Consider the following 26,914-nt stretch of genomic DNA (forward strand, 5'->3'; position numbering starts at 1 on the left):
CCTTTATATTACTTAATTTTTGACACAGTTTCCAGAAATGTTTTCAGGTGAAAGTGAAAACTTTCTATGTGCAAATAATCAATATTAAAGTTTCACTTCAATGCAAAAGATTTAAATATTTTTTCCTAGCTTAATTCAATAATAGCTTATCTGCCCACTTCACCTTGATATGATCTCTTTGATGCAATAAATTAAAATTAATGTGAATCAATATATTACAGTAGTAAACAAAATTAGCAACTACTCATTTTGGTGATTACACATATTCTCTGGCAGTAATGTATGTTCAAATTTGGAATATTTTTTTAATTTTTAAAAGGTCATATGCTAGATACAAAATCCTCAAATTAATCACATCCTTTGCAGCAACATGGAAACAGCTAGAAACCATTATCCTAAGCAAAGTAAAGCAGAAGCAGAAAACCAAATACCACATGTTCTCACTTATAACTGGGAGCTAAAATATTCTACACAAAGAGTAGAATAATAGACACTGGGGACTACTAGAGAGGAGAGGGAGGGGACAAGGGTTGAAAAATTACCTATTGGCTACTATGCTCACTATCTGCATGACAAGATCAATTGTACTCCTAATCTCCGCTCACACATTACACACATGAAACAAACCTGCAATGTACCTCTTGAATCTAAAATAAAAGCTGAAATTTTTTTAAAACCTTCAAAATTATAAAAGGGAATTAAATATGGCATTTCAGAAACATTTTGCCCTGTAATTATCTAATTCTTATAGAAGTATTGTTGCTTGGATGCATGGTAAGACAATGATATCCATGTTAGAAAATATACTCTTAACCCATTGTTATTAATTTTTAAAAGGCAAGCAAGACTAATGTTACAACCCCCATCTCAGTGGAGGTTAAGCCTTTAACATGGGAATTGGGGAAGTGGCACAATTCAGTCCAGACCACTTGCTTATCCATTTTAATGTTACGTATTGTTTGAATTCATAACTTACCAAAAAAGCATATATAAGTACTATAATCTTTCAACTCATATTAATAGGACTAAATCTGAACTATATTGAAATTAGAAGGATCGTTTTTGCCTATTGTTTTCTAACATCTACAGCCATTAAAAATAGTGAAGAAAGTCTTATTTTCACTTCCCTTCTGAAATATCACAACCTCTTTATAGAGCAAAATTCTTTTCTTTTCAGTTTTTCTCTCAATTTGAAGTATTTCTGGGGACGTAGCTGCTAGATTATATTACTCTATGACTTGCAAAGTTAAGGAAGTATTCTCTTTGTCTTTTCAGTAAATTGTGCAGCCAAAATATTACCACTCACTAAGTAAATGTTAGTCATTTCATAAGAAAAATAAATTGCTTTTAAAAATCCATGTATTTAAAAACAAATATTTAAGCATTTATATAATTGTTCACATTCAAATCTCCTGCAAATTAATAAAATGCATGTTTCACTATTTCAGCATTTTTGTTTTATATCATATATTTAAAGATGTGCTCGCTATGCTTATAAATTTTTAAATCTCGCGAGAATTTTCTGATTTAATTTTTTTCTATCATAGCCAGGATAACAAAAGATGTATGTTAACCATCACTTATTCCTCTCCACCTCCACACAGTCATACAGACACACACATAAATATAATTGAACAGGTACATGCACATATTCATGTTCTATTTCCATCACTTCAAAAATCATTGGAAAATATTTTTAATAATTAGAGGTTTAATGGAGATTTACTTTTAATTCACAGTCTTTGTGAAATTAATGTATTTTTCCATATTAGTTGCACTATGAATACATAATGTACCACATTTTATATATTTATTTTTGTATATAGAACATGAGCTCTCTAAAGGTGTAATCTTATCTTTGTCGATTTGATTTCTTTCTGAAAATTGACAATGAACCTTACACATGTTAAGGGATTAGTAAGTGATTGTTAAATATGTAAAGGATTTATAGAATTTAATTTTCAAAAATATAAACACAGATAAGCAGTGTTACTTGATAAAGTATATACTGGAAATCAAAAGACATAAATAAAGACTGAGAACATAGTTTTGAAATAAAACTATGGGGTTTTGAAAATAAACCTAAGAGCTTTATGTTAAAATCAGGTGAAACAAAATTTCCACGATACATACTCTTCCAAGTTAGGTAAAGTACATACAGAACTTTAGGAATATTAGGTTAGAATGAATAATATTTATTATTCTTTAAGCAACTAATTTTTAGCATATCTTGAATTTGACCAGTGGATATACCCGAGTGTATGTAATATAATAATTTACTCAAATATGTTTGTTTAACTGACATATAAAATTGTATGTAGTTATCATGTATAACATTATATTTTGAAGTATATATACATTGTGAAATTCTTAAATCTAGGCTATTAACAAATATATTACCTCACAGTTATATTTTTGTGATGAGAACATTTAACATCCCCTCTCTTCGCAACTTTCAAGAATACAATATATTGTCATTGAATATCGTTACCACGCTGAATAGCAGATCTTTTGAACTTATTTATTCCTCCTCTCTAACTGTAAATATGCATTATTTGACGAACAATGTATTATTTAATGCAACACTCCCCCGAACTGCCCCAGTGTCTGGCAACCACCATTCTACTCTTCTATAAGATCAGCTTCTTCAGATTCCACATATGAATGATACCAACTATTATTTGTCTCTCTGTGCCTGGCTTATTTCACTTGACATAATGTCTTCCAGATTCACCCATGGTGTTGCAAATGGCAGGATTTCTTTCTTTTACAGTTAAATAATATTTCATTGTATATACCACATTTTATTTATCCATTTGCCTGTTGGTGGACACTAAGATTGCTTCCATATTTTAATCACTGTGAATAATGTTGTAATAAACATGAGAGTGCAAATATCTTTTTGAAATACTGATTTCATTTCCTTTGGCTATAAACTCAGCATTGGGAATGCTGGATCATATAGGAGATCTATTTTTAATTTTTTGACAAACCTCCACACTTTTTTCATAATGGTTTTACCAATTTATATTCCCACAAAAGAAGGATTCCCTTTTTTCCATATTTTTACCAATACTTGTTATCTTTTTTCTTTTTGGTAATAGCCATTTCAACTGGTGTGAGGTAATATCTTATTGTTGTTTTGATGAGCATTTTCCTGATGTTTAGCAATGCTAAGCCTCTTTTTCATATAACTGCTAGTCATCTTCATGTCTTCTTTTGAAAAATGTCTATTCAGATCTTTTTTCCATTTTTTAAAATTGGGGTTTTTTCTTGCTATTGAGTTGTATGGATTCCTTATATATTTTAGATTGATTGACCTCTTATCAGATGGTGTGCAAATATTTTCTCCCACTCTATAGATTGTCTATTCACTCCAGTGATTGTTTCCTTTGCTGTGCAAAGAAAATGTACCCAGTGTATTATCCTTTGCTAATTTGACTGCAATACTTTAGATTAACAATAATAATTGACTTGCTTACTGATTATGCTTTCCCTTGAAGCGTAAATGTCTTTATATAGTCTGCATGTGTTGGCAGACCTCCAACTTTTATTTTGTATAACACAATCAGAATCGTATTTCTAAAGCAAACAAATACATTTCAAAGTATTATATTTTAGGAAAACATTCAACAGACTACCCTATAACTTCCTAAAAATTCAGAAACTCTGGAAGGCCAAGAGCTGAGCACTTTAGAGTCACCTATTGCTCACAGCAGACAAAGAATGGCCCCTTCCAGTAATTGCTCTAACAGCTGCCAAGTTAGTCTTTTAGCTGGCACAGTGGCTTAAATTCTCAGCTACAGCCTGCCTCATCAACCAATCAGGAAGTATAATGGCTATATATTTTTAAAGCGTTTCTCCTGGCAGGAACCCTCTTGATGATTCAAAGAAGTCTTGGGCTGCAACAGCTACAACTACTGTGGCCCCCAGACTCTTCCTCATCAATGTGACCAAGCTTTGAGGACTGTCCTATTCTGTATTCTGCAAGAATAAGGCTGGAAAAATAGAGAATAATATTTGTAAAAGCAAAATAAAAACAAACACACAAATCCTTTCACTTGGGTTTTAGAAAATAGCAAGGAATAGATAAAATAAACTTAGGGATTGTGTCTAAACATGCTATCTGAATATTATCCCAACATGTAACCTTCATATACATAATAAAGCAAATAAATATTATATCAATATCTCAATTCCAAAAATGCAGTAAAATCTGAATCATTTCTTATAGCAAAAAGTATCAATGTTTAGACACACTAATTGTTATTTAAAATGATAAACAGATATATAAAAATCATAATCTTCATGTGAACTTAATTCAAAAAATAATTGAGCTGCTAGAAGACATAAAATTAGTACAACATAATTGTTACCATCAGGAAATTACAGATCAGTGAGAGCACATGAAGAGGTTATTTTCATACATGAGGTAAGTGTCTTTGAATTTGGCAGCAAAAAAAGAAAAAAAAAATTCAGTATTCATGGTGACATTCATGGTAAGTGCATTTCATTATGCTCTGATATTTTATAATATTACATTATAAAATATAATAAAATTATATTTTATAATTTTACATTCCACCTATGGTATATAAATATATATACATATATGTATGGCACATACATATATGTATTTTATATTCCACCTATAGTATATACATATATATACATATAGGTATGGCATATACATATATGTATGGTATATAAATATATATACACACCATAGGTGGAATATAAAATACATATATGTATGTTATATACATATGTATACTATATATGAAATATAAATATATATATTTCTTATCTGAATTCACTCTCTGTTTATATTCATATGTGTTTGTGTGTGTATAAAAACTATGCCATCCATCTGCACTACTGGCTATGAGAATGAAGTTATACAGCTTTCTGACATGTGAAAAGTAGTATATGTAAGCCAAATGCACCAAAATTAATCTTTTTGAAATCAAACATAATACCCATTGCCAAAATATTTTCTTCAAAAGAAGTATTATTTTCTTATATTTGACTTTCGAAGCCATATTCATTGCTTCAAAATTGCACTTTAACAATAGCATATTTTCAGTACAGGTACTTATAAAATAAATTAAATAACATAATTCAAACTTAGTAAGTTTGTGTGCTTTAAAAACAAATTCAGGAACTACAGAAATCATTCAAATGACACAAGCAAAAATAAATGTGTATAAAGATTAGATAGATAGGTAGATGATAGATACATGATAGATTTAAAACAGCAGACAAGACAATAAATTTCTCTTATATACTGACAAGAACAATAAATAATGTAGCTGAGTAATAATTTGAATTAATGAATATGCATATATAATATTCTATACACAAGATAAATTAATTAACTTACATTAGAGCTTACTATCCTTAATAACTTAAATTGACTCTCCTAATTTTTCCATTAAAGTAAACTTCACTCTAACTGATGTGATATGGTATCTCATTGTGCTTTTGATTTGCATTTCCCTAATGACCAGTGATGACGAGCTTTTTTTTGATATGTTTGTTGGCCGCATAAATATCTTCTTTTGAGAACCATTTGACCCAGCAATTCCATTACGTTGTATATATCCAAAGGATTATAAATCATTCTACTATAAAGACACATGCACATATATACTTATGGCAGCATTATTCACAATAGCAAAGACTTGGAACCAACCCAAATGCCCATCAATGATAGACTGGATAAAGAAAATGTGGCACATATACACCATATAATATTATGCAGCCATGAAAAACGATGAATTCATGTCCTTTGCAAGGACATGGATGAAGCTGCAAACCATCATTCTCAGCAAACTAACACAGTAACAGAAAACCAAACACCAAATGTTCTCACGCATAAGTGACAGTTGAACAATGAGAACACATAGACACAGGGAGGGGAACATCACACACTGGGGCCTGTGGGGAGTGGGGGCCTAGGGGAGGGACAGCATTAGGAGAAACACCTAATGTAGATGATGGGTTGATGGGTGCAGCCTACCACCATGGCACATATATACCTATGTAACAAACCTGCACATTCTGCACATGTATCACAGAACTTAAAGTACAATACAAAAAAAAAAAGTACATTTTCAAATCTAAATATTGATTGTTGTGCTGCCAACATTTTAAACATAGCCAAATTATATCTTCATCATGAAAACAGTTGTAAGAATTGCTTATAATTTCTCTTTAGTGTATCAAAATGTGTCACACTCAAACTTGACTTAATTTCCCACACAATTTCAATAAACTTTGTAAAGGATTCATGACTTTGTAAACCCAAGATACAAAAGTGTAGTTTCTCCTCTATTCTGCCCTCCAGATCTTTTAGAACAATGTGAATGCATGGGTTTCATAAAATTCATCATTAGGAAGTGCTGTCTGGCAAGCACTCTCATTTTTTTTTTCCAGTAGCCAAAGGGAGCTCTAGAAATCTGCAAGCCAGCAACAGCTTAATCTTATGGTGGACTCTTGATGCTATAAATCCATAACTAAGCAGGGGCGGCTGAAAATGAATGCAGCTTTTCTTGAATAATGCTTGTTCTGGAAAAAGAAAGTGTCTGATATGTTGTTTTTCCAACTGCTTCTTTACCAAATAGATTCAAACTATATTGACACCTGTAACAACTAATAATATAAAGGCAAAACAATAATAGTAGCTAAAATTGATTTAGCACCTACAATGTGCTAGAAAGTGTATTATGTATTTTACATGAATTATCTCAACTAATCCTCTTACAAAAGTAGGTTTTAATATTTTAAACATATTTTAGATGAGGAAACAAAGATATTTATTTCAATAAATAACATTTTAAATCTACTAAGAGGCAGAAATAGGATTGAAATCATAAGGAATGTTTGCACATACCTATGTTTTTAATCACTGCACTATCTGTGCAAAAGTCCATATAGTAAAAAGCAATGAAACAATCAAAAGGACTCATACTACTATGTTTGAAACTATTGTATTTCCATAATGAATTATCGAATTAAAAAATGCAATAAAATATTTTTTTAGTTTCAGTCACTTTTCCTAAACAATGATTTGAAAGAAAAAACACTATATAATTTAGACATTTATTCACTTCCTTATATAAGCACCTTTCTAGAATGCCATTTAGAAGAAAGAGTCTGCATTTTAATTGTCTTCTGTTAAAATATTATCAACTTCACCAAAATAATCCAAAATGAGGGGGCCTTACATGCATTATTTGATATTGGATATGTACAGATGAGTCCACTAATCAAAGTAAGGACATCCTAAGCATAATTAACATGCATGAATTAATGTTTGTGTAAACAAACGTGTAAGGCACTTTAATCTCTGAGAAACTGTATCTCCATAAAGCTGATCAACATATCTGCTTGATTTTTTTCCCTCAGTGAACACACATGGCAAGACTAAAACTTAACAGCTTACCTATTGCTCACTTTGTATAAGAAAATTTTTCAATAATCCAAGCTGAATTTATTATGATAATCCATTCCGTATCAAAAGGTCTTATGCAAATGACATGGAATGCTGCCAAAACATAGCACGGGACCTGAGGTAGTGTTTTATTTTTATTATTGTGCTTTTCAGAATAAGTTATCAGGTTAACTTAGCTACACACTTTCCTTCAGTGTGAGGTACACTGACCAAGGAAGCAGAAAATTGGAAGATCTATCCAATTCGCCAGTAACTATTTACAGGAGTGGCAGTTTAGTTAAAGAATTTACACTGTCTGTTTCCTTTAAACTAGAGTGTAGTATTCCATGATTTCTATCGGCCCTGCCACTTCTAAAATTCGAAGTAACTGGGTTTCCATTTTTCTTCATCATTTCTCATACCAACAAGGCCAAAACATAGTAAAAAATTGACATTTGAAAAAGTTTATAATGATTCTTACTCTGGGAAGTGATTTAAAAATCCTTTAAGTTAATCTTCACTAAGTGTTGGGAATCAGATTTTTATATTCAGGGACTATTGATGTGCTAATTGATACAATTGAAAACCAATACGTTTTCAAATGGGCTCCTTTATTCAACCATAAAGTTGAATAGATATCTAACATGAGCTAATTTACTTACCTCCATTTGGACCTCACCTAAACTATTACAGAAACAGAGATATCAAATCTCATTGAGAAATTTTCAGAACTATTTTTAAAAGAATATTAAGGTTTTTTTTTTTTCAAAAAGGAATGCAAAGTGTGGATTACTTCCTATCTCTACGGACATATAGAGCACATGGTTAAATATTTTCAACATAGTAATCATTGGTCTTGAAAACACCTAATAATAAATTGAAATAGATTATCTCAAATTGAAAACTTTATTTGCAAACGTTGCTTGCTTTTTGTATTAGTCTGCTCAGCTATATTACACAATTGAGAAGAAAATTCAGTCTATTCATTTTATCAAGTATAAATGGAGACAGAAAATACCTGTTCACGTGTGCATTCCTCTGGTCATGTATGCCCTTACACACTCACTCCCACCCAGTACTGCTTTCTGGGTTTGGCTTATGCTGTAGTTCCTGAAATCCTAAATGTTATGTACCAGCTGCCAGCAGGTGTCTGCAGGTGTTTGCCTACAAGAAGTTCATTGACAGTTTATTGCAGCAAGAATACCTTCTCTGGCAGTGGAAATTAGCTGCAAAAACACTGCAGACCAAGTAATGTTTTAAGGACAATGATGCTTCATGTGCTGTGAATGCATAATTATTTATTATCAGTCAGGCCTAGATTAATCACTCTTGTGTGATATTTTTCCCATGTAAAAAAATAGTTATCAAATTCTAGTTTCCACGGTCATTGTCAGTGTACTGGAAGGACTGCAGCTGTACTAGGAGTCTCATGGACATTTAACTTCTGACAGCTGTGAATGCTTCTTTGTGAATGCAGACATTGCTCTTTGACTCAGAGTTTCTGGAAGAGCTCCAAGATGCATTCTCCAGTGCCCCTGCAGCTCTCTGAGTGCATATTAGGAGAAGGTGGTCAGAAACGTCATGAATTGCTAACGTGGAGAGATACTTGTATTTTCTTTTACTACACATGTATTTATTTCAACATGGATATAAATAGATGAGGTGATAGTCAGTGATGAACCTAATATTTACAAACTTTCAGTATTTGGAGATTCATGATTATGTCAAATCTTTTCATATATGATTATACTTTTATTGAGAAAATACTGATATGCACCAACACTCAATTTTTTGAGTTTTATAGAGATTCATGCCTAATATTCATAACAAAATTGGACTACATGACATCAATGCTCAAGAAGATTGTCAGATGTTTAAAAATAAAGAGTAAAATTTAGCTATTTATAGGGTTTATTAGTCATTTGTGATTAATATACCATAAGTTTTTTTTTGATTATTGAGAAACTTAATTATGGGATTATCTTAACACATGTATGCCTTTGAAAAAAAAAGAAAATATGTCACAAAAGTTTCAATTTAAAATTATTTACATAACATATTTATGTTAGAAAGGACTATGAGGTTATGTCCCTAAACTTAATCATGAAAGGAATTCCCCTTCAAATAAACCATACATATTTGCATTTTTCTATTGATATTTTAGGAGATGTATAATGCTTGTTTTAGCATTTGGGTTATTAAATATAAAATTGTTAATAGTCAAAAACTGAAAGACAAGAAACATATGTCATAGTAGAGACATTTTCCACTTAAGGAAAAAGCATACTCTATGTATACAAGCAAGTGTTGTTTTATTAACCCTATATATTTGAATTACTCTAACAATAATTTCTGGTAGTTAATAATATCCTTGATATTCCACAGCCTATTTATAAATATATTTCATGATCAGTTTAAGATCTAATTTATTATTGTAATAATTAAAAGAGCAATAGTATATATTAATATTTTGAAATATATTTTCACTGTTTCATTTCTCAAAATATATCTGACATGATAGAAGTGTTGAATCACTTAGAAAGTATCCCTATGGAGACTAATTACTGAAAATCAATGTATCTTTTTTTTGTTTAAACTGAGAACAAAGTTCAAAGGTATTAATTTGAACTAACATAGGTAAGGCAAATAGACCCTGAGAGTTTGTGTAATTCATAGCATAGTCTGCTATCTACTGTTTGTATGAAATATGGAATATCACCAACTACCTTGAAACTCAGCATTTCATCTGTAAGTAATAATAACACCTCATGAAGTCATTATAATAATTAAATGAAAATATGAGACAATCTACATAAAATGTCTGGTAATAGTAAATGATTCTGTGTGTGTATGTATGTGTACATTTTATTTACCTTTGACTTTGAATTATAAACAAAATGTGCATTGCCTGTGAATGCTTGTGTTAACCATAGCTGAAGAAAGTCACATTATGTTGGGCGCGGTTGCTCACGCCTATAATCCCAGCACTTTGGGAGGCCCAGGCGGGAGGATCACGAGGTCAGGAGTTCGAGACTAGCATGGCCAACATGGTGAAACCCCGTATATACTAAAAATACAAAAATTACCCGGGCGTGGTGTCACATGCCTGTAATCCCAGCTACTCGAGAGGCTGAGACAGGAGAATTGCTTGAACCCAGGAGGAGGAGGTTGCAGTGAGCCAAGATCACACCACTGCACTCCAGCCTGGGGGACAGAGCAAGTCTTCATCTCAGAAATGATAAAAAATCATCACATTACATATCAAAAAATCCAGTCAAATGCATTCCTATTATGAGGGACAAATGAATTTAAGCCTGCCTTTCTCTATGTAATACATTACTACTAAATGCTACCATATCTATGCTATAGTGAAGTATTTTTAAATATGAAAATTCTTAGATATCATGAATAAGTGGTAGTGTAATTGGTTAAAGTCTGTTTGTATAGCAGTCACTACTCATATAATAAAGCAGTTGAAGACCTAGATTGATTTTAGAATGAATCATGCATCTCATACTGGTGATTAAAATCAAAATTGGTTATTTGTTCATTACGAATTATAATAATCAATTAAAATTGCAGCATACATCATAGCATGCTATATGAGAATAACTATAAATTTAGTGTCACTATAAAAATCTTCATTAGATTGATGGAATATTTATAATCACAGAATAAAAATGCATCATCTAATATTAAACAAAAACTGAGCTGGCACAGGTGTGTTTTTCAGAGGTAACTTTTCATGAATTTACCAACCAATTACCAATATTTGTTTAAATAAAGATAACTAGTAGAATAAAATGGGCTGGGCACGGTGGCTCATGTCTGTAATCCCAACATTTTGGGAGGCCGAGGCAGGTGGATTACAAGGTCAGGAGATCGAGACCATCCTGGCTAACACAGTGAAACCCCATCTCTACTAAAAATAAAATAAAAAAAAATTAGCCAGGCATGGTGGCACGTGCTTGCTGTCTCAGCCATTCAGGAGGCTGAGGCAGGAGAATTGCTCGAACCCGGGAGAAGAACGTTACGTTACAGTGAGCCAAGATCAGGACACTGCACTGCAGCCTGAGCAACAGAGCAAGACTCCATCTCGGAAAAAAAAAAAAAAAAAAGAATTACTTAAAATCTGTAAGTTAAGATTAATAATAATTATTTTTTAAAAAACTCTTTTTGAAAGACAGGATCTCATTCTCTCATTCTCTCTCCCATGCCAGATCATACCTCAGTGCAACCTAAAACTCTTGGACTCAAGGCATCCTCCTACTTCAGCCTCCTGAAAAGCTAAAACTACAGGTGCACACCACCACACTCAACTACTTTTATTTTTATTTTTCTACAGATGGGGTCTTGCTATGTTGCCCAAACTGGTCTTGAACTCCTGGCCTCAAGAAATCCTTCCACCTTGGCCTCCCAAAGTGCTGGGTTTAGAGGAGTGAGCCACCATGCCTGGACCAGATTAATAATTATATTATATTTTCCAAGGAGTTTCCATTTTAATATTTATTATTTGATTAACCAGTGTGATAGTTATATAGTCAATTGAAGACATAGCACATTAACTTTGTCATCTACCCAGAGGAAATGTTTTCATTAATGCAGAGGTGCAAATGATATGAAGCCAGAACCAAGAATGAATTCAACGTCTTCGAGAAACACTTTACTGATGGCGAGATCTGGTGGTTTCCTAATTATTTTGGACTTAAGCCTTTCAGCAATGTGTAATTCCTTTGAAGTTATATTGGTTTTGTCTATGGAAGAAGCATATTGTTGGAAATAAAGGTCACTAATGTAACTAATATTTTAGATAGATTGATGAAAAACAAACTCTAACCTTAAAAAATTATAACTTCTGAATGGGACTTATTATCAAGACATTATGTCTTTGTATCAGATTTATAAATGTCATTTTATTAAAACTGAGGTTTATTGAGCTTTTCATGGAAATTAGGGACCATATTAGCATTCTATAAATTAGTTAATTATAATTTGCTGTTCAAACTCTGCCCACTCCAATTGTACAAAAAGCCACTAAACTTTAAAATCATGTTTTCGTATTAAAATAGATGGAACACAAACATTCAAGTGCAGTTTTTTTAAAGTCTTTTTTTGCACACAAAACTTATCCTAGATAATTCCTGAAGCAAAATACTGATTTAGTATTTTCTTTCCCAGTTCTACTAACATCCCACTGTGTGATCTAGAGAAAAGTACTTTAGAGAGTACTTTGCCATGCATAAAAAGGCACTTATCTTCTAATAAAATTCTATTGATTTAAAATAATCTACCTTTCTTTCTTTATAGAGGTATAATAAGGGTGTAATGAAGAATTTTGAAGTGCTTGTAAAGTTCCTTGAAATCTTTAAAAGAATAGTAGAGGCCTTCAATTGAATGCAATTCGAAAGAATTGAATAGAGACCCTAAACAGAATGCAAATCAGGCCTCTTGCCAAATGTGAATCATAATTGTCCTTATTTATTGAGGGTGTCATAATCACCATCATTACTTATGAGTGCAGCTGTTCATATTGATTGAATTTCCAAGGTATCCCAGAAATTGAACAAGAAACACAGTTTCAATCCTCTGGGAATTTATATTCTAGACCTGCACTGTCCAATGGTAGCCACTAGCCACAGGTGGCTATTTAAATTTAAATCAATCAAATTTAAATAACAAATAAAATTTTAGTTCCTTTGCCATATCATCCACATTTCATTTTTTTAAGCTACCTCCTACAGAAAGGTATCATTCATATTTCAATTTCTCAGTAGCCTTATGTGGCCAATGGCTATCATATTGGATCGCACAGATACAGTTAATTTCCATTATCACAGAAAATTCTATTGAACAGCCTCTTGTAGATGCTTGGTGCACATATGCCACTATAAATATTATTCAAGAATACAATTTATACAATATAATTTTATTGCATAAATTGTAGTTCATTAATTTTGATAGAGACTTTTAATAGAGAAAATAGATAATCTACAAAAAGTCAAACATCTCTGTAAGCATTCTGATATGAATCAACTATTTTCATCTCAAATACAAGAGACAGGATCTAGCACATTTTAGGTGCTAAATAAATATTTGTTCAATTAATAAATTCATAAATGAACAAGTATTTTGTGTATACAAAGAGATTTCTGGAGCTCATTTTTCTTGCTATTGAAAGGATACCATATACAGTTTTCAAAATAAGGAATGATAATATAGTCTGGAAGAAAAAACACATTAAGCAAGAAATAGAGCATTGTGCAGGTCAAGTGCTTGATAATGCAAGGGAATGTTTAGATGAGCAGTCTTCATTGTTAGAAAGAATAAGTAAGATTTTTTCAGATGGAGAAAGGACTTACAGAGAATTCTCTAGAACAGTAGGTAAAAGAAAAATGAAAAGTCTGATAGATAAAAGGGCAGTGGAAACCAAAGCGTTGGGAGTTGGGAAAAAGGCTGATTCATTTTGAGGGGATAAAGAGATTATGAGTATTCTGATGAATGAAGGATTCCAGTTGGCAAAGTTGAATGTAGTATAATCAATTTAGATATTTTTCATTAGCAATGGTTCTTCTGAAATTGTTGTAATTTAACTGTTTTAGGATAATTAATTGTTTTTCTCTGAAAAAAAAAACAACAGAAATAACCCAGAAAACACAGGCATAACATAATGCCTGTTTAGACTTATTTTCTAAAAATGACTAGAGATGTGTGAGAACCAAGGACCAATGGGTCCCAAGAGACAAATCATACACTAATAGAGAGTTACATAGAAAAGCTAATCTGATTACATTGTGAAACTGCTTCATTTCCAGTGGAATGTGTGCATTTCAATGCTAGTATAAGCCAGATGGCAGTAGCCTTTGTTCTAACAGGGTCTGACGATAGTTTGTATATTTAAAATGTCACAACTACACACTCACTTTTCTTCAGTAAACAGTAAAGAACAGCTGCTGACAACTTCAAGTGCAATTACTTATCTTCTCTACAGAGCCATTTTGATCTTCCTCTTCACTCACCAGAGTATCAAATAAAACTGATGTTCCCAGTACACAGCATGGTTCTGAATAGTGTGAAGATAACAAAGCTAGCTTCTATTAATTACCATTCTATTAGCTGATACTGGTAGCTAGAATTGAATGTCATATATGAGTAATGCTGAGAAATTATTGTAACTAATTAATTGACACTCATAGTTAGAAATGTATTCAGTGTCTCCAGTGATAATAATGTGCCATGAAAAATAAAACCATTTGAGAACTATGGGATAGAGATTAATTTAAGGAAATCATCTTGAACTCTTCCTAAGCTCTTAAATCACCCCTCCAAATATTCTTATTTTTCAAGTGCACATTTTTATAAATTTTTATTGGGGATGTGTATGCAAAATTGAACAAACTGTAGTAGAAACTAAAACAGTAAGAAACAAAAATAGTAAAAAAAAAAAAAAAAAAAAGAGCATACGATGAAAAATAAATTCCCATTCTATTTAAGACGCCAGTCTTCTTCCAAAAGGTAACCACTATTATTAGATTTGTGTGTATTAATTTCTTTCCAGAAAAAAAGTCTGCCTCTCACAAATTATAGGTAATGCTATATATACTCCTAATAATGGCAAAACAGTATTCCTATACAAACTGTTGTTTAAAGTAGAAGAGTATTCTAAGGTATAGAAGGATGTGTATGACTTTTCAGTGAGTCAGACATTTAACTTGTTCTTACTCATTTTCAAATGCAAGCATCTGTTACATATCTTCTGACATAGTGTTTTATATATCTTACTTTGGCACACCTGAAGGCTACTTTCTGAAAAAGTAGTGTTCCAAAGATATATTTTTGTAGATATTTCCAATTGGTTATCCAAAAAGGATATTTTCATATGTAATTATATCAAAAAATATCCGAGTGTATGTGCAAGGAACTGCATGAGGCAAGGAAGAAAATTGGCTATTTTTTGTATATTCTTTTGTAATGCCTCTGAGAGTCTATTTCTAAGGCTGTGAATAATTAAGTCTGTAAGTGAATAAATAATTTCAGCAAAATTAGATTTGCTGGCCATTTTTAATTTGATAAATATAACTGCATGATGTTTGTTTTTAATTTTAAATGTATTAGACAAAATGTCAAAGACAAATGCTGTACAGTTATTTAATTTAGCAATTTCATAGAGACACAATCATAAATGGTGACTCATTATTTTCCTCCAGGAGAAACTTTCATTTTCTCCTTTTAGATATGTGATATACATATAACATATATTATATATAATTATATATATGAATGTGATATATATATAATTTCAATTTCAAAAACTTTAAAGACATATGCCCTTTAACTTAGACTTGAAAAATGTGTCATTTATTAAATTGAGTTGAACAGACTTCTTAGCCATTACTATGGAGGAATAGAAACTTAGCATTAGAATTCCATAATCTTAACTCACCAGTTAGGCTAACAACAACAACAACAACAACAAATTGCAAGCTCTACTGGCTTTAGATGTTGATCAATACTTATGAAGTCATGAAATGATTAATAAAGAATTTCCTTGTTTATAATCCTCATTAGGTTGTTTCTTAAAGCACCATAATTCTTGACTAAGCATTTTAAAATTCTAATGATAACACACAGTGATACGCAAATGTGATAAGAATTATCTTAAAAAATGTACTTAATATAAGAATCCCTCCTGTGTTCATAAAGCACTAAAATAATAATTCTAGAAACTAATAAATATAAATTTACAAAAATATATGGTCAATTTTAAGTGGCAAGTATGCTACTTATGTTTTCAATTTAAATTTAAATTTGCAGGTATCAAATTATGGCCATAATTGATAATGACAATTATATTTACAATATAAATGTCAAATATATTTCCCTACATGATATACACTTATGATGATACCCTCTCAATAGATAATTCTAATATGAAAAAAAAATATTTGCAAACATTTGGACAAATGTGACTTTCACATCCAACTCCATCAAATAATGTTTAATATTAATAGACTTAATTCTGGGGAGATATATTTGATCAATCATTTAATTTTACAATGGCCAAATGTATCTATGTAATTAAGTGCATGCATCTGAGTGCTGTCTGAAAGCATGTATACACATATGACCATGTGTTGCTTAGTATAGACTAAAACATAGATACATTTGTTCATGTGGGTAAAAGTTTTGGCTCATATTTGATCACTCTTATGTAATTCACTTATATATTTTCTAAGCAATAGTCAACATTCAATGCAAATAAAGAAACAGATTAATAACTGAGGCTTTTCCTTATATCTATGATGTTTTCCCTCTTGTGTTTTTCTGTTCTGAACTGTTCAAGTCACAGTATTTTCTAAAATTTCATTCTCTTGCAGAGCATCTTATAGAGACACCTAGTGGCAAAAGGTAATGGTGGCTTCCGGGACCATCCTTAATGTTGAGTTAATGGCAGAAAGTTTTCATCATTTACTTATTTGAACCACAAGAGGTAAACTAGATTATTAGCATAAGTGTTTCTAACAAAACTGTAACCTAAACTAATTCCAAACATATTTAATACTTCTTAGTTGAATAATATTTCCTTTAATTAGAACAATAAATATTTAAAATAAAAATAATACAAAACCATGAATTAAACTTTGCTATTGAATGAAATTATAAAGATTTAGAACAGTGATAAAATATAACAGCTTTATTTCAGCTATTTTGAAAAAATCAATAATCGATTAAGACAATTTAGGACCTTTAAGAACTTCTACAAAGTTAATCGATATTGAAAATTATGTTTCTGATAGGACTCAATATTTATATTCCAAAGGCTTCTGGCTGTAATTCCTATATAATTTTAAATTTAAATATTTCATTTCATTTTGAAAATATAAAAGTAATTTTAAACTTAAAATAAATTTTCTGAAATGTTTATATAATGTTAAAAGTTAATGACTGAATAAAAAATACAGAAATAAGCCTTTTGTGGATGACGTGTAAGTTATATTTGTTGATGCAATGTATCTACAGCTAGTGGCTATCATTCCTAGGTCAAATGCTTCTAAATTTAATGAAACGTTCATTACAAGATTTTGTTTTTATTGTCTGAAATTACATATTACTTCTTTCCTTCCTCTCCCTTGAATATAACCCATACTTAAACAAAATTGCTTCCAAATAAAGTTTTTATGGTATAAAGTAAAAATATATATATTCACACAACATACGCAGGGGAAAGTTCAAAAAAGATTGCAGTACCTCAGGAGACTGCAATGTTCATCACCTGAGATATATATACATCTCAGAACATAGACATATTATCAGACTCTATATCAATATTAAACATATGATTAACCAGATTATAACACAGTATTATCCCAAATATTACTAAGAATAAAACAATATCAATAATAATTAAGACGTAATTAATTGCAAAATAAAGTGGGTAAAATATATTTACATGGAGAAACTAACTACATAGTTATCAAAGGAACAGGCACATGTGCACTCAGCCTGCACTGGGTCACTTACTATTATCAACTTTTCTCTTATACCCGGGATGAACGGCAGGTCTAATATTACAAATATTGAAAACATGTCTTATGAAAGTAAAGACCCCTTTTTGGGGATGGAAGTGTCTGGTTTCATGGAAAGACCCAAGAATACTTACTGTAGAGATGACTCTAGTGGAGTTTAGCAGATGACTCTTCAAGAAACTCGCTTTCTATCGATATTGCATTTACTTAGGGGTTTTCCAGCTTTTTAGTACACACCAGATGTATTCACAAACATTCCCTCTGAAAGTCTTTCACATTCCCTTGTGTTGCCTAGACACACCTATAAAACGTAATTCTATTAAAGAGAAAAGAAAAGTAGCGCCCTTGTTTGCAGCTAGGAGGAACCACTCCCTTTTCCAGGATCCTTAACAGTAAGTACACGAGACAGCAGCATTCTGAATGGCAGGAGGAAGGCAGGCGATCAGCACAGGGCTGGAATCATCTGTTCCTGACCACCAGCAAGCCTGGCACTGCCGGGGTTATTTCCACTCCTCCCTTTCCCAATCCGAGAATTGCACAGTCCCACGCTCGAATTACACACATGGTCCAAGACTTCTCTCTCTTCCTACGAATGTGACATCCAAGGGGGCCCCGGTTGCGCCGCCCTAGCCCAGGGACGCCTTCGCCCTCGGCTGCCATCTATCGGCCACCGAGCGCCCGCTTCGCCCCGGGCCCATCATGTCTGCTGCAGCTTGGCTCGCACCAGAGGCGCGACAATAAACAAGTGCACTGGACTGGGCCCTGCACCCGCTCCGGAGCAGCTGTCTCAGAGACCCGGTGTTGCTTACCGCGTTGCCACCTCCTCGGCGCCCGGGAGGAAGACGCAACTTTCTCGGAGTTTTTTTTAGAGCCACCGGGCTGCCAGGACAAGCCACAGGCATAGAACGACGCGGTTGCTGCCCGCCCCCCCCTTCCCCCAGAAACCCCAAAGGATGTCGGTGATAGAGAGTTCCAACTAATGACGATTGTGCGCCGCATCTGGGGAAGGGATACAGAAAAAAACCCTGCAAACACCGTGAGGATGAAACTGCCAAAGGGATGCAAGAGCCTCTCAAATACTAATTAGGGGCCGCGGCGGCGGCGGGCTCGGCGCGGAGACAGCGTCGGCGGGATCCCAGCGCGGTGGTCGCCGCTGCGCTGGGGGGCGGAGGACAGCGCAGGAGCTGCAGCCGCCGCCTTCGCTGGAGCAGCCGAGGGGCCGGTGCCACCTTTGCTCGCCCCCTCACTACCATGTACAGTGTGCGCTGCAAGAAGAAGGCGGGAGATGCATGCACACCCCCGCGACCCGCTCCCTCTGGCTCGTCCCCCGGCGTGCGCCACTGACCAGGGGGGAATGTGGTGAAGACGGCGAGGAGGAGAGCCGAGGGGGGAGGGGAGGGCCGGCCGGCGCGAACCCAGGCCGGAGGGTGCGAGGAGCCAGAGGAGGCTGGAGGGGGCGGCGGCCACAGCTGGGTCGGAGAAAGTTGCCCCCTATGCAGATGGCAACTGTGAGTACCCCTGTGGGGGGGAGGGTGCAGCGAAGGCTGCCAGGGACCCCGCGATCGCGCCTTAACACGTATTGGAGCGAGTGTGCGAGTGATCATGAGTGTGAGCGGGTGCGAGCGCTCGGCGGGGCTGACCGTCACGTTGGCGGGGCCGGCGGGGCCAGGCAGTCTTCTCCGCGTCCCCCTCCTCCCGCTCCGTGCCTCCCCTCCCAGCAGCTCCCCCTCCCCGCCCCGCCCGGCTCCGGCTCCCGGCCCCTACCGCGAGGCGCCTCTCCAGCCGGACCTCCGCCGCCCCCTCCCGCCGCCTCCCTATCCCGCCGCTGCAGAACGCCCCCCGCTCTCCACCCCCCAACCCTGCTGCCCGCTCCGACTACCGCGGAGAGCACCGGGGAGAGCCTTTTGGGGAGCCCCGGAACCCGCGGTCGCCACCGCGGCGGCGGCCCCAGGCTGGAGGCGTCCGGGCGCCTCTTTCCTCCAGCCTCTGGGACTGCGCTGCTCGCAGTCTCCTCGCCCTGCCTGGGCTTGAGAAACCTAGTGCATACCCCAAAGAGGGTTTTTGTGTATGTGTGTGTTTTTAAAGGGTGGCTATGATGACTGGGCCTTGGAGATGTGAGACTGGGTAAGTCTATCGTTTACTTTGCAAAAGAGGTGTGTGTGTGTGTGTGTGTGTGTGTGTGTGTGTGTGTGTGTGTGTGTGTGTGTCTATGTGGCGGGGTGGTTTTCCTTCCCTCTCCTCCCTCCCCTTCTTCCTCCGTTTTCCCTTCCTTCTCTTTGGGGCGGGGTGGGGGAGGGGGAGCCTCGCGTCCTGGAACTCCGGGTGCTTCTGCCTGGGCTGCTGCTTGAGCAGCTGTGCCCGGAGCCTCCGGTGCGGCCTGGGTGCTGGGCTCCAGTCCGAGAGGCTCCATGCTGCTTACTGCAGGGACGTACAGGGCGGTGATCCAGTATCTAAATTCTTTGGGAGAAAATGAATAGTTCCCCCGCCCCCGCCCTCCAGGAAAAAAAAAAATCTGAGAATCTGAGAATGTTCAGCGCACCCGCGAATTTGCATCGGAGGTGCGTTTCCCCGTCAGAATGTCAGCCTCCCCAGGCTCATTCAACTTTATTTTCTCAAATTTTTGGTCTCCTTTGCTAGCAAGGAGGAGGGGGAAGGGAGTGGGTTGAGAGGAAGCTCTTCGACCCTTGCTAACTAGAACTGAATTAAAGTTGTAAACGCTGGAGTTTAATACTGGCTGGACTGAATTTGCAATGGGCTTTCAGATGGGGTGGGAGGTGAATGGGGGCGGGGAAGCACAGGGAGGGAGGGGGAGGGGACCCAACCTCGCTGAATGGATGTGCGGATTTGATCCAGCGGAGAACTGAAATTTCAAGGTAAACGTTTTGCTTTCACTGGGGTGGGGATGTTTTTGCCGCTTTTAAGCCGGGAGACGTTTACCGTTGCGTTGGGAGGTCGGGGATACTTGCGAGGTTTATGCACTGTGGTTCCAATTCATCTCGACACGTCTGGGTGGCCACACGTGAATGATTCGCAGGCACACTGATACATGTGCGTTTGAATGCAGGGGCGTTTAATAACGCGGGCTGGAGTCGACTTGGGGATCAGGAGCAAGGTCTCCAGGCTTGAACCCGCTGTCTCGGAAACATCTTGGCTTTAGTTTGGAGTTGCAATTCGATATTAGACTTCGGTAGTGAGGCAAAGGCAAGGTTGACCAGAGAAAAGGCATAGGTTCCTAGAGTCCAGCATTTCTATCAAATGTCCTCCACCCCATTAACCAACGCAGCATGCGCGCGCGCGCACACACAAACACACACACACACACACACACACACACACACACGCTCATTCCATTTATGTCCTTCCTTTAAGAGTGCTGCTGTTGATCAGAAGTAGGAAGTGGAAGGAAGCCTTCAAGGGGACAAAAAGAGAGCAAGAAAAAAAAGGGGGAGGGGGTCATATTGATTCCTGTGGGAGATGAAATTCGGATATTAAACAACTGACCTAAGTCGCTTACAGTTCTTCCTCCCACCTTTCTATTTTGCCTCTTAATCAGCCCAGGCGTCCTTTCCCTGAGATTAAAAAAAAGAGAGAGGGGAGCGTTAACAATTAAATGTAATAAGCAACTCCAAAGATGGGGATGCTGTCGAGGTGGTAGTTCCGTGCAAACCTTGCTATTACCGTTGCAAATAGACGCGGAGCCCAAGGTAAGGGAGGCTTTCGTGCTGATCCTTGGTGTACTGATTCCCGGTAAGCGGTAGGAACGTCCTTTTTAAACTCTAGGCATCGGGAGGTATTCGGAGATTGCGGATACCTTCGCTGAGTTCTTTGTAATCCATCGTGCAGAACTATTTCAGTGGCTTAAAGATGCGGTTTGGTAGCGTCGCTGACATGATCAATGAGAAGTGGTCGCAGGGCGCTCTCCGGGAAGCGCTGCTAAGTGGTACCGTGCATGCAATTAGGACGCTGATGTGCTTTAATAGCGTGGTAGTGAAGTCCACCATCAAAGCAAATGCGCTCTCCTTTTTTCTCCTTACTCAAAGCTCCGGGAGACAATTGGTGATTTAAGAGCTTCTTGGGGCTCCTTTGATGCATTATATTACAGCCTTTTTGCCTCTGAAAAGTATCCTTTAGGTTCCCACCGTGGCATTTCTAGCGATGGTTTAAAATACCCCAAGTATTTTGGCTCCTTGCCTCTCTGTGAACATGAGAGACCTTCACGGTGAACTGTTAACTGAAGAGGCTCTGAAAGAAAGAAGGGGGGGTGGGGGCTGGGTATAGGTGAGGTGGGGAACCTTGTAAAATGGTGCTTCTTTTTTCTTAAATTAGAACCATGAAACTGAACTGACAGCCATTTTATGTATATTTATGGATTGGTTTTGAAAAGGGGGGGAGAAGAGAAAACTAAAATGGGACTTTATCTAACCTGCTCTTATCTTGTAAGGAGCAGCATATTTGTGGTGTGCTCATTTAAAAAAATTAATCAACCTTTAAATCAAAATGTATAATAGATTTTAATAAAATCTAGAGAATGTCAATGTTTCACTTGGGGAGGTGTGTCATTTGTATCTCTTCCTTTTGGGTTTTAGAGTAATAATGTTAAGAAAGAGAGAGACTTTCTGACTGATCCCTTAAATTTTTGTCATATTCTGTTATTTCCTTGTTTTCTCTCTCCCTTACAGGAGGTAAAATGCACACTTGCTGCCCCCCAGTAACTTTGGAACAGGACCTTCACAGAAAAATGCATAGCTGGATGCTGCAGACTCTAGCGTTTGCTGTAACATCTCTCGTCCTTTCGTGTGCAGAAACCATCGATTATTATGGGGAAATCTGTGACAATGCATGTCCTTGTGAGGAAAAGGACGGCATTTTAACTGTGAGCTGTGAAAACCGGGGGATCATCAGTCTCTCTGAAATTAGCCCTCCCCGTTTCCCAATCTACCACCTCTTGTTGTCCGGAAACCTTTTGAACCGTCTCTATCCCAATGAGTTTGTCAATTACACTGGGGCTTCAATTTTGCATCTAGGTAGCAATGTTATCCAGGACATTGAGACCGGGGCTTTCCATGGGCTACGGGGTTTGAGGAGATTGCATCTAAACAATAATAAACTGGAACTTCTGCGAGATGATACCTTCCTTGGCTTGGAGAACCTGGAGTACCTACAGGTCGATTACAACTACATCAGCGTCATTGAACCCAATGCTTTTGGGAAACTGCATTTGTTGCAGGTGCTTATCCTCAATGACAATCTTTTGTCCAGTTTACCCAACAATCTTTTCCGTTTTGTGCCCTTAACGCACTTGGACCTCCGGGGGAACCGGCTGAAACTTCTGCCCTACGTGGGGCTCTTGCAGCACATGGATAAAGTTGTGGAGCTACAGCTGGAGGAAAACCCTTGGAATTGTTCTTGTGAGCTGATCTCTCTAAAGGATTGGTTGGACAGCATCTCCTATTCAGCCCTGGTGGGGGATGTAGTTTGTGAGACCCCCTTCCGCTTACACGGAAGGGACTTGGACGAGGTATCCAAGCAGGAACTTTGCCCAAGGAGACTTATTTCTGACTACGAGATGAGGCCGCAGACGCCTTTGAGCACCACGGGGTATTTACACACCACCCCGGCGTCAGTGAATTCTGTGGCCACTTCTTCCTCTGCTGTTTACAAACCCCCTTTGAAGCCCCCTAAGGGGACTCGCCAACCCAACAAGCCCAGGGTGCGCCCCACCTCTCGGCAGCCCTCTAAGGACTTGGGCTACAGCAACTATGGCCCCAGCATCGCCTATCAGACCAAATCCCCGGTGCCTTTGGAGTGTCCCACCGCGTGCTCTTGCAACCTGCAGATCTCTGATCTGGGCCTCAACGTAAACTGCCAGGAGCGAAAGATCGAGAGCATCGCTGAACTGCAGCCCAAGCCCTACAATCCCAAGAAAATGTATCTGACAGAGAACTACATCGCTGTCGTGCGCAGGACAGACTTCCTGGAGGCCACGGGGCTGGACCTCCTGCACCTGGGGAATAACCGCATCTCGATGATCCAGGACCGCGCTTTCGGGGATCTCACCAACCTGAGGCGCCTCTACCTGAATGGCAACAGGATCGAGAGGCTGAGCCCGGAGTTATTCTATGGCCTGCAGAGCCTGCAGTATCTCTTCCTCCAGTACAATCTCATCCGCGAGATTCAGTCTGGAACTTTTGACCCGGTCCCAAACCTCCAGCTGCTATTCTTGAATAACAACCTCCTGCAGGCCATGCCCTCAGGCGTCTTCTCTGGCTTGACCCTCCTCAGGCTAAACCTGAGGAGTAACCACTTCACCTCCTTGCCAGTGAGTGGAGTTTTGGACCAGCTGAAGTCACTCATCCAAATCGACCTGCATGACAATCCTTGGGATTGTACCTGTGACATTGTGGGCATGAAGCTGTGGGTGGAGCAGCTCAAAGTGGGCGTCCTAGTGGACGAGGTGATCTGTAAGGCGCCCAAAAAATTCGCTGAGACCGACATGCGCTCCATTAAGTCGGAGCTGCTGTGCCCTGACTATTCAGATGTAGTAGTTTCCACGCCCACACCCTCCTCTATCCAGGTCCCTGCGAGGACCAGCGCCGTGACTCCTGCGGTCCGGTTGAATAGCACCGGGGCCCCCGCGAGCTTGGGCGCAGGCGGAGGGGCGTCGTCGGTGCCCTTGTCTGTGTTAATTCTCAGCCTCCTGCTGGTTTTCATCATGTCCGTCTTCGTGGCCGCCGGGCTCTTCGTGCTGGTCATGAAGCGCAGGAAGAAGAACCAGAGCGACCACACCAGCACCAACAACTCCGACGTGAGCTCCTTTAACATGCAGTACAGCGTGTACGGCGGCGGCGGCGGCACGGGCGGCCACCCACACGCGCACGTGCATCACCGCGGGCCCGCGCTGCCCAAGGTGAAGACGCCCGCGGGCCACGTGTATGAATACATCCCCCACCCACTGGGCCACATGTGCAAAAACCCCATCTACCGCTCCCGAGAGGGCAACTCCGTAGAGGATTACAAAGACCTGCACGAGCTCAAGGTCACCTACAGCAGCAACCACCACCTGCAGCAGCAGCAGCAGCCGCCGCCGCCACCGCAGCAGCCACAGCAGCAGCCCCCGCCGCAGCTGCAGCTGCAGCCCGGGGAGGAGGAGAGGCGGGAAAGCCACCACTTGCGGAGCCCCGCCTACAGCGTCAGCACCATCGAGCCCCGGGAGGACCTGCTGTCGCCGGTGCAGGACGCCGACCGCTTTTACAGGGGCATTTTAGAACCAGACAAACACTGCTCCACCACCCCCGCCGGCAATAGCCTCCCGGAATATCCCAAATTCCCGTGCAGCCCCGCTGCTTACACTTTCTCCCCCAACTATGACCTGAGACGCCCCCATCAGTATTTGCACCCGGGGGCAGGGGACAGCAGGCTACGGGAACCGGTGCTCTACAGCCCCCCGAGTGCTGTCTTTGTAGAACCCAACCGGAACGAATATCTGGAGTTAAAAGCAAAACTAAACGTTGAGCCGGACTACCTCGAAGTGCTGGAAAAACAGACCACGTTTAGCCAGTTCTAAAAGCAAAGAAACTCTCTTGGAGCTTTTGCATTTAAAACAAACAAGCAAGCAGACACACACAGTGAACACATTTGATTAATTGTGTTGTTTCAACGTTTAGGGTGAAGTGCCTTGGCACGGGATTTCTCAGCTTCGGTGGAAGATACGAAAAGGGTGTGCAATTTCCTTTAAAATTTACACGTGGGAAACATTTGTGTAAACTGGGCACATCACTTTCTCTTCTTGCGTGTGGGGCAGGTGTGGAGAAGGGCTTTAAGGAGGCCAATTTGCTGCGCGGGTGACCTGTGAAAGGTCACAGTCATTTTTGTAGTGGTTGGAAGTGCTAAGAATGGTGGATGATGGCAGAGCATAGATTCTACTCTTCCTCTTTTGCTTCCTCCCCCTCCCCCGCCCCTGCCCCACCTCTCTTTCTCCCCTTTTAAGCCATGGGTGGGTCTAACTGGCTTTTGTGGAGAAATTAGCACACCCCAACTTTAATAGGAAATTTGTTCTCTTTTTCCGCCCCTCTCCTTCTCTCCTCCCCTCCCCTCCCTTCTCATTCCTTTTCTTTGTTTTTAAAGGATGTGTTTGTATGCATTCTGGACATTTGAATTAAAAAAAAAGTATTGTGATCCTGTAAAGGATCACCATAGATGTGGACAAATCATTAAAATTACAGAGCTATATGATCCATAATTGATTAGTCAAAATAACTTATTGATGAAATATACAAATATTTTATTGTAGCACCTATTTTTATATGCACATTTAGCATTCCTCTTTCCTTCACTATTTAGCCTATGATTTTGCAGAGGTGTCACACTGTATTAGGATCTGCATTTCTAAAACTGACGTGGTATCAGGAAGGCATTTTCAATCATTCAAAATGTGGAGAATTTAATGGCTAAATCTTTAAAAGCCAATGCAACCCACCCAATTGAATCTGCATTTTCTTTTAAGAAAACAGAGCTGATTGTATCCCAATGTATTTTAAAAAATAGGGCAATTGATTGGGCCATTCCGAGAGAATTGTTTGCAAGTTTTGGGTTTTATTAGAAAATATTTGAAAGTATTTTTATTAATGAACCAAAATGACATGTTCATTTGACTACTATTGTAGCCGATTTTCGATTGTTTAACCAAACCCAGTTGCATTTGTACAGATCCACGTGTACTGGCACCTCAGAAGACCAAATCATGGACTGTACAAGTCTCTATACAATGTCTTTATCCCTGTGGGCAGCAAGCAATGATGATAATGACAAACAGGATATCTGTAAGATGGGGCTACTGTTGTTACAGTCTCATATGTATCCCAGCACATGTAATTTTTTAAATAGTTTCTGAATAAACACTTGATAACTATGTCAAATATGAGGGATGGAAGTAATGATTACTTAAGGTGCAAAAGAC

The 26,914-nt window shown here is 38.1% G+C and overlaps 2 protein-coding genes and 1 long non-coding RNA gene across 5 annotated transcripts in view, besides 3 other annotated features; 1 reads left to right on the plus strand and 2 right to left on the minus strand.

The window, feature by feature from the left end:
• Positions 1 to 18,220, minus strand: part of MIR4500HG (MIR4500 host gene) — a 226,977-nt gene extending 208,757 nt beyond the window's left edge. The window contains exon 1 of the long non-coding RNA NR_033829.1: positions 18,093 to 18,220. This is a non-coding gene — a long non-coding RNA (MIR4500 host gene). The remainder of the gene's footprint in view (positions 1 to 18,092) is intronic.
• The window catches only part of LOC124900338 (formin-like protein 5), a 58,101-nt gene extending 38,477 nt beyond the window's left edge, over positions 1 to 19,624 (minus strand). The window contains exon 1 of the mRNA XM_047430855.1: positions 18,093 to 19,624. Coding sequence (XP_047286811.1) covers positions 19,038 to 19,562 — 525 coding nt within the window. The 5' untranslated portion in view covers positions 19,563 to 19,624 and the 3' untranslated portion in view covers positions 18,093 to 19,037. The remainder of the gene's footprint in view (positions 1 to 18,092) is intronic.
• Positions 18,355 to 18,856: an enhancer, noted in NCBI's record as "OCT4-NANOG hESC enhancer chr13:88323353-88323854 (GRCh37/hg19 assembly coordinates)". NCBI's record gives its function as "activates a minimal SCP1, AML or CMV promoter by ChIP-STARR-seq in primed H9 embryonic stem cells {active_cell/tissue: H9 hESC(primed)}" and the evidence as "EXISTENCE:reporter gene assay evidence [ECO:0000049][PMID:30033119]".
• On the plus strand, positions 18,628 to 26,873 carry SLITRK5 (SLIT and NTRK like family member 5). 3 transcript variants are annotated; one of them, NM_001384609.1, is made up of 2 exons: positions 18,628 to 19,466; positions 22,638 to 26,873. In NM_001384609.1, the coding sequence occupies exon 2, from the start codon at positions 22,646 to 22,648 to the stop codon at positions 25,520 to 25,522; it is 2,877 nt and encodes a 958-aa protein (NP_001371538.1). In that variant the 5' UTR covers positions 18,628 to 19,466; positions 22,638 to 22,645; the 3' UTR covers positions 25,523 to 26,873. The 3 variants fall into 3 exon arrangements, with proteins under 3 accessions (NP_001371538.1, NP_056382.1, NP_001371539.1); NM_015567.2 differs by lacking the exon at positions 18,628 to 19,466 and adding an exon at positions 19,846 to 20,082; NM_001384610.1 differs by lacking the exon at positions 18,628 to 19,466 and adding an exon at positions 20,481 to 20,831.
• Positions 21,281 to 22,480: an enhancer, noted in NCBI's record as "CDK7 strongly-dependent group 2 enhancer chr13:88326279-88327478 (GRCh37/hg19 assembly coordinates)". NCBI's record gives its function as "activates an origin of replication core promoter dependent on BRD2, BRD4, P300/CBP, MED14 and CDK7 cofactors, with strong dependence on CDK7, by STARR-seq in HCT116 cells {active_cell/tissue: HCT116}" and the evidence as "EXISTENCE:reporter gene assay evidence [ECO:0000049][PMID:35650434]".
• Positions 23,793 to 24,335: an enhancer, noted in NCBI's record as "H3K4me1 hESC enhancer chr13:88328791-88329333 (GRCh37/hg19 assembly coordinates)". NCBI's record gives its function as "activates a minimal SCP1, AML or CMV promoter by ChIP-STARR-seq in primed H9 embryonic stem cells {active_cell/tissue: H9 hESC(primed)}" and the evidence as "EXISTENCE:reporter gene assay evidence [ECO:0000049][PMID:30033119]".
• Positions 26,874 to 26,914: the final 41 nt, after the last annotated feature.

The sequence above is a fragment of the Homo sapiens genome, chromosome 13 (genome assembly GCF_000001405.40).
Source record: "Homo sapiens chromosome 13, GRCh38.p14 Primary Assembly".
Taxonomy (NCBI): Eukaryota; Metazoa; Chordata; class Mammalia; order Primates; family Hominidae; genus Homo; species Homo sapiens.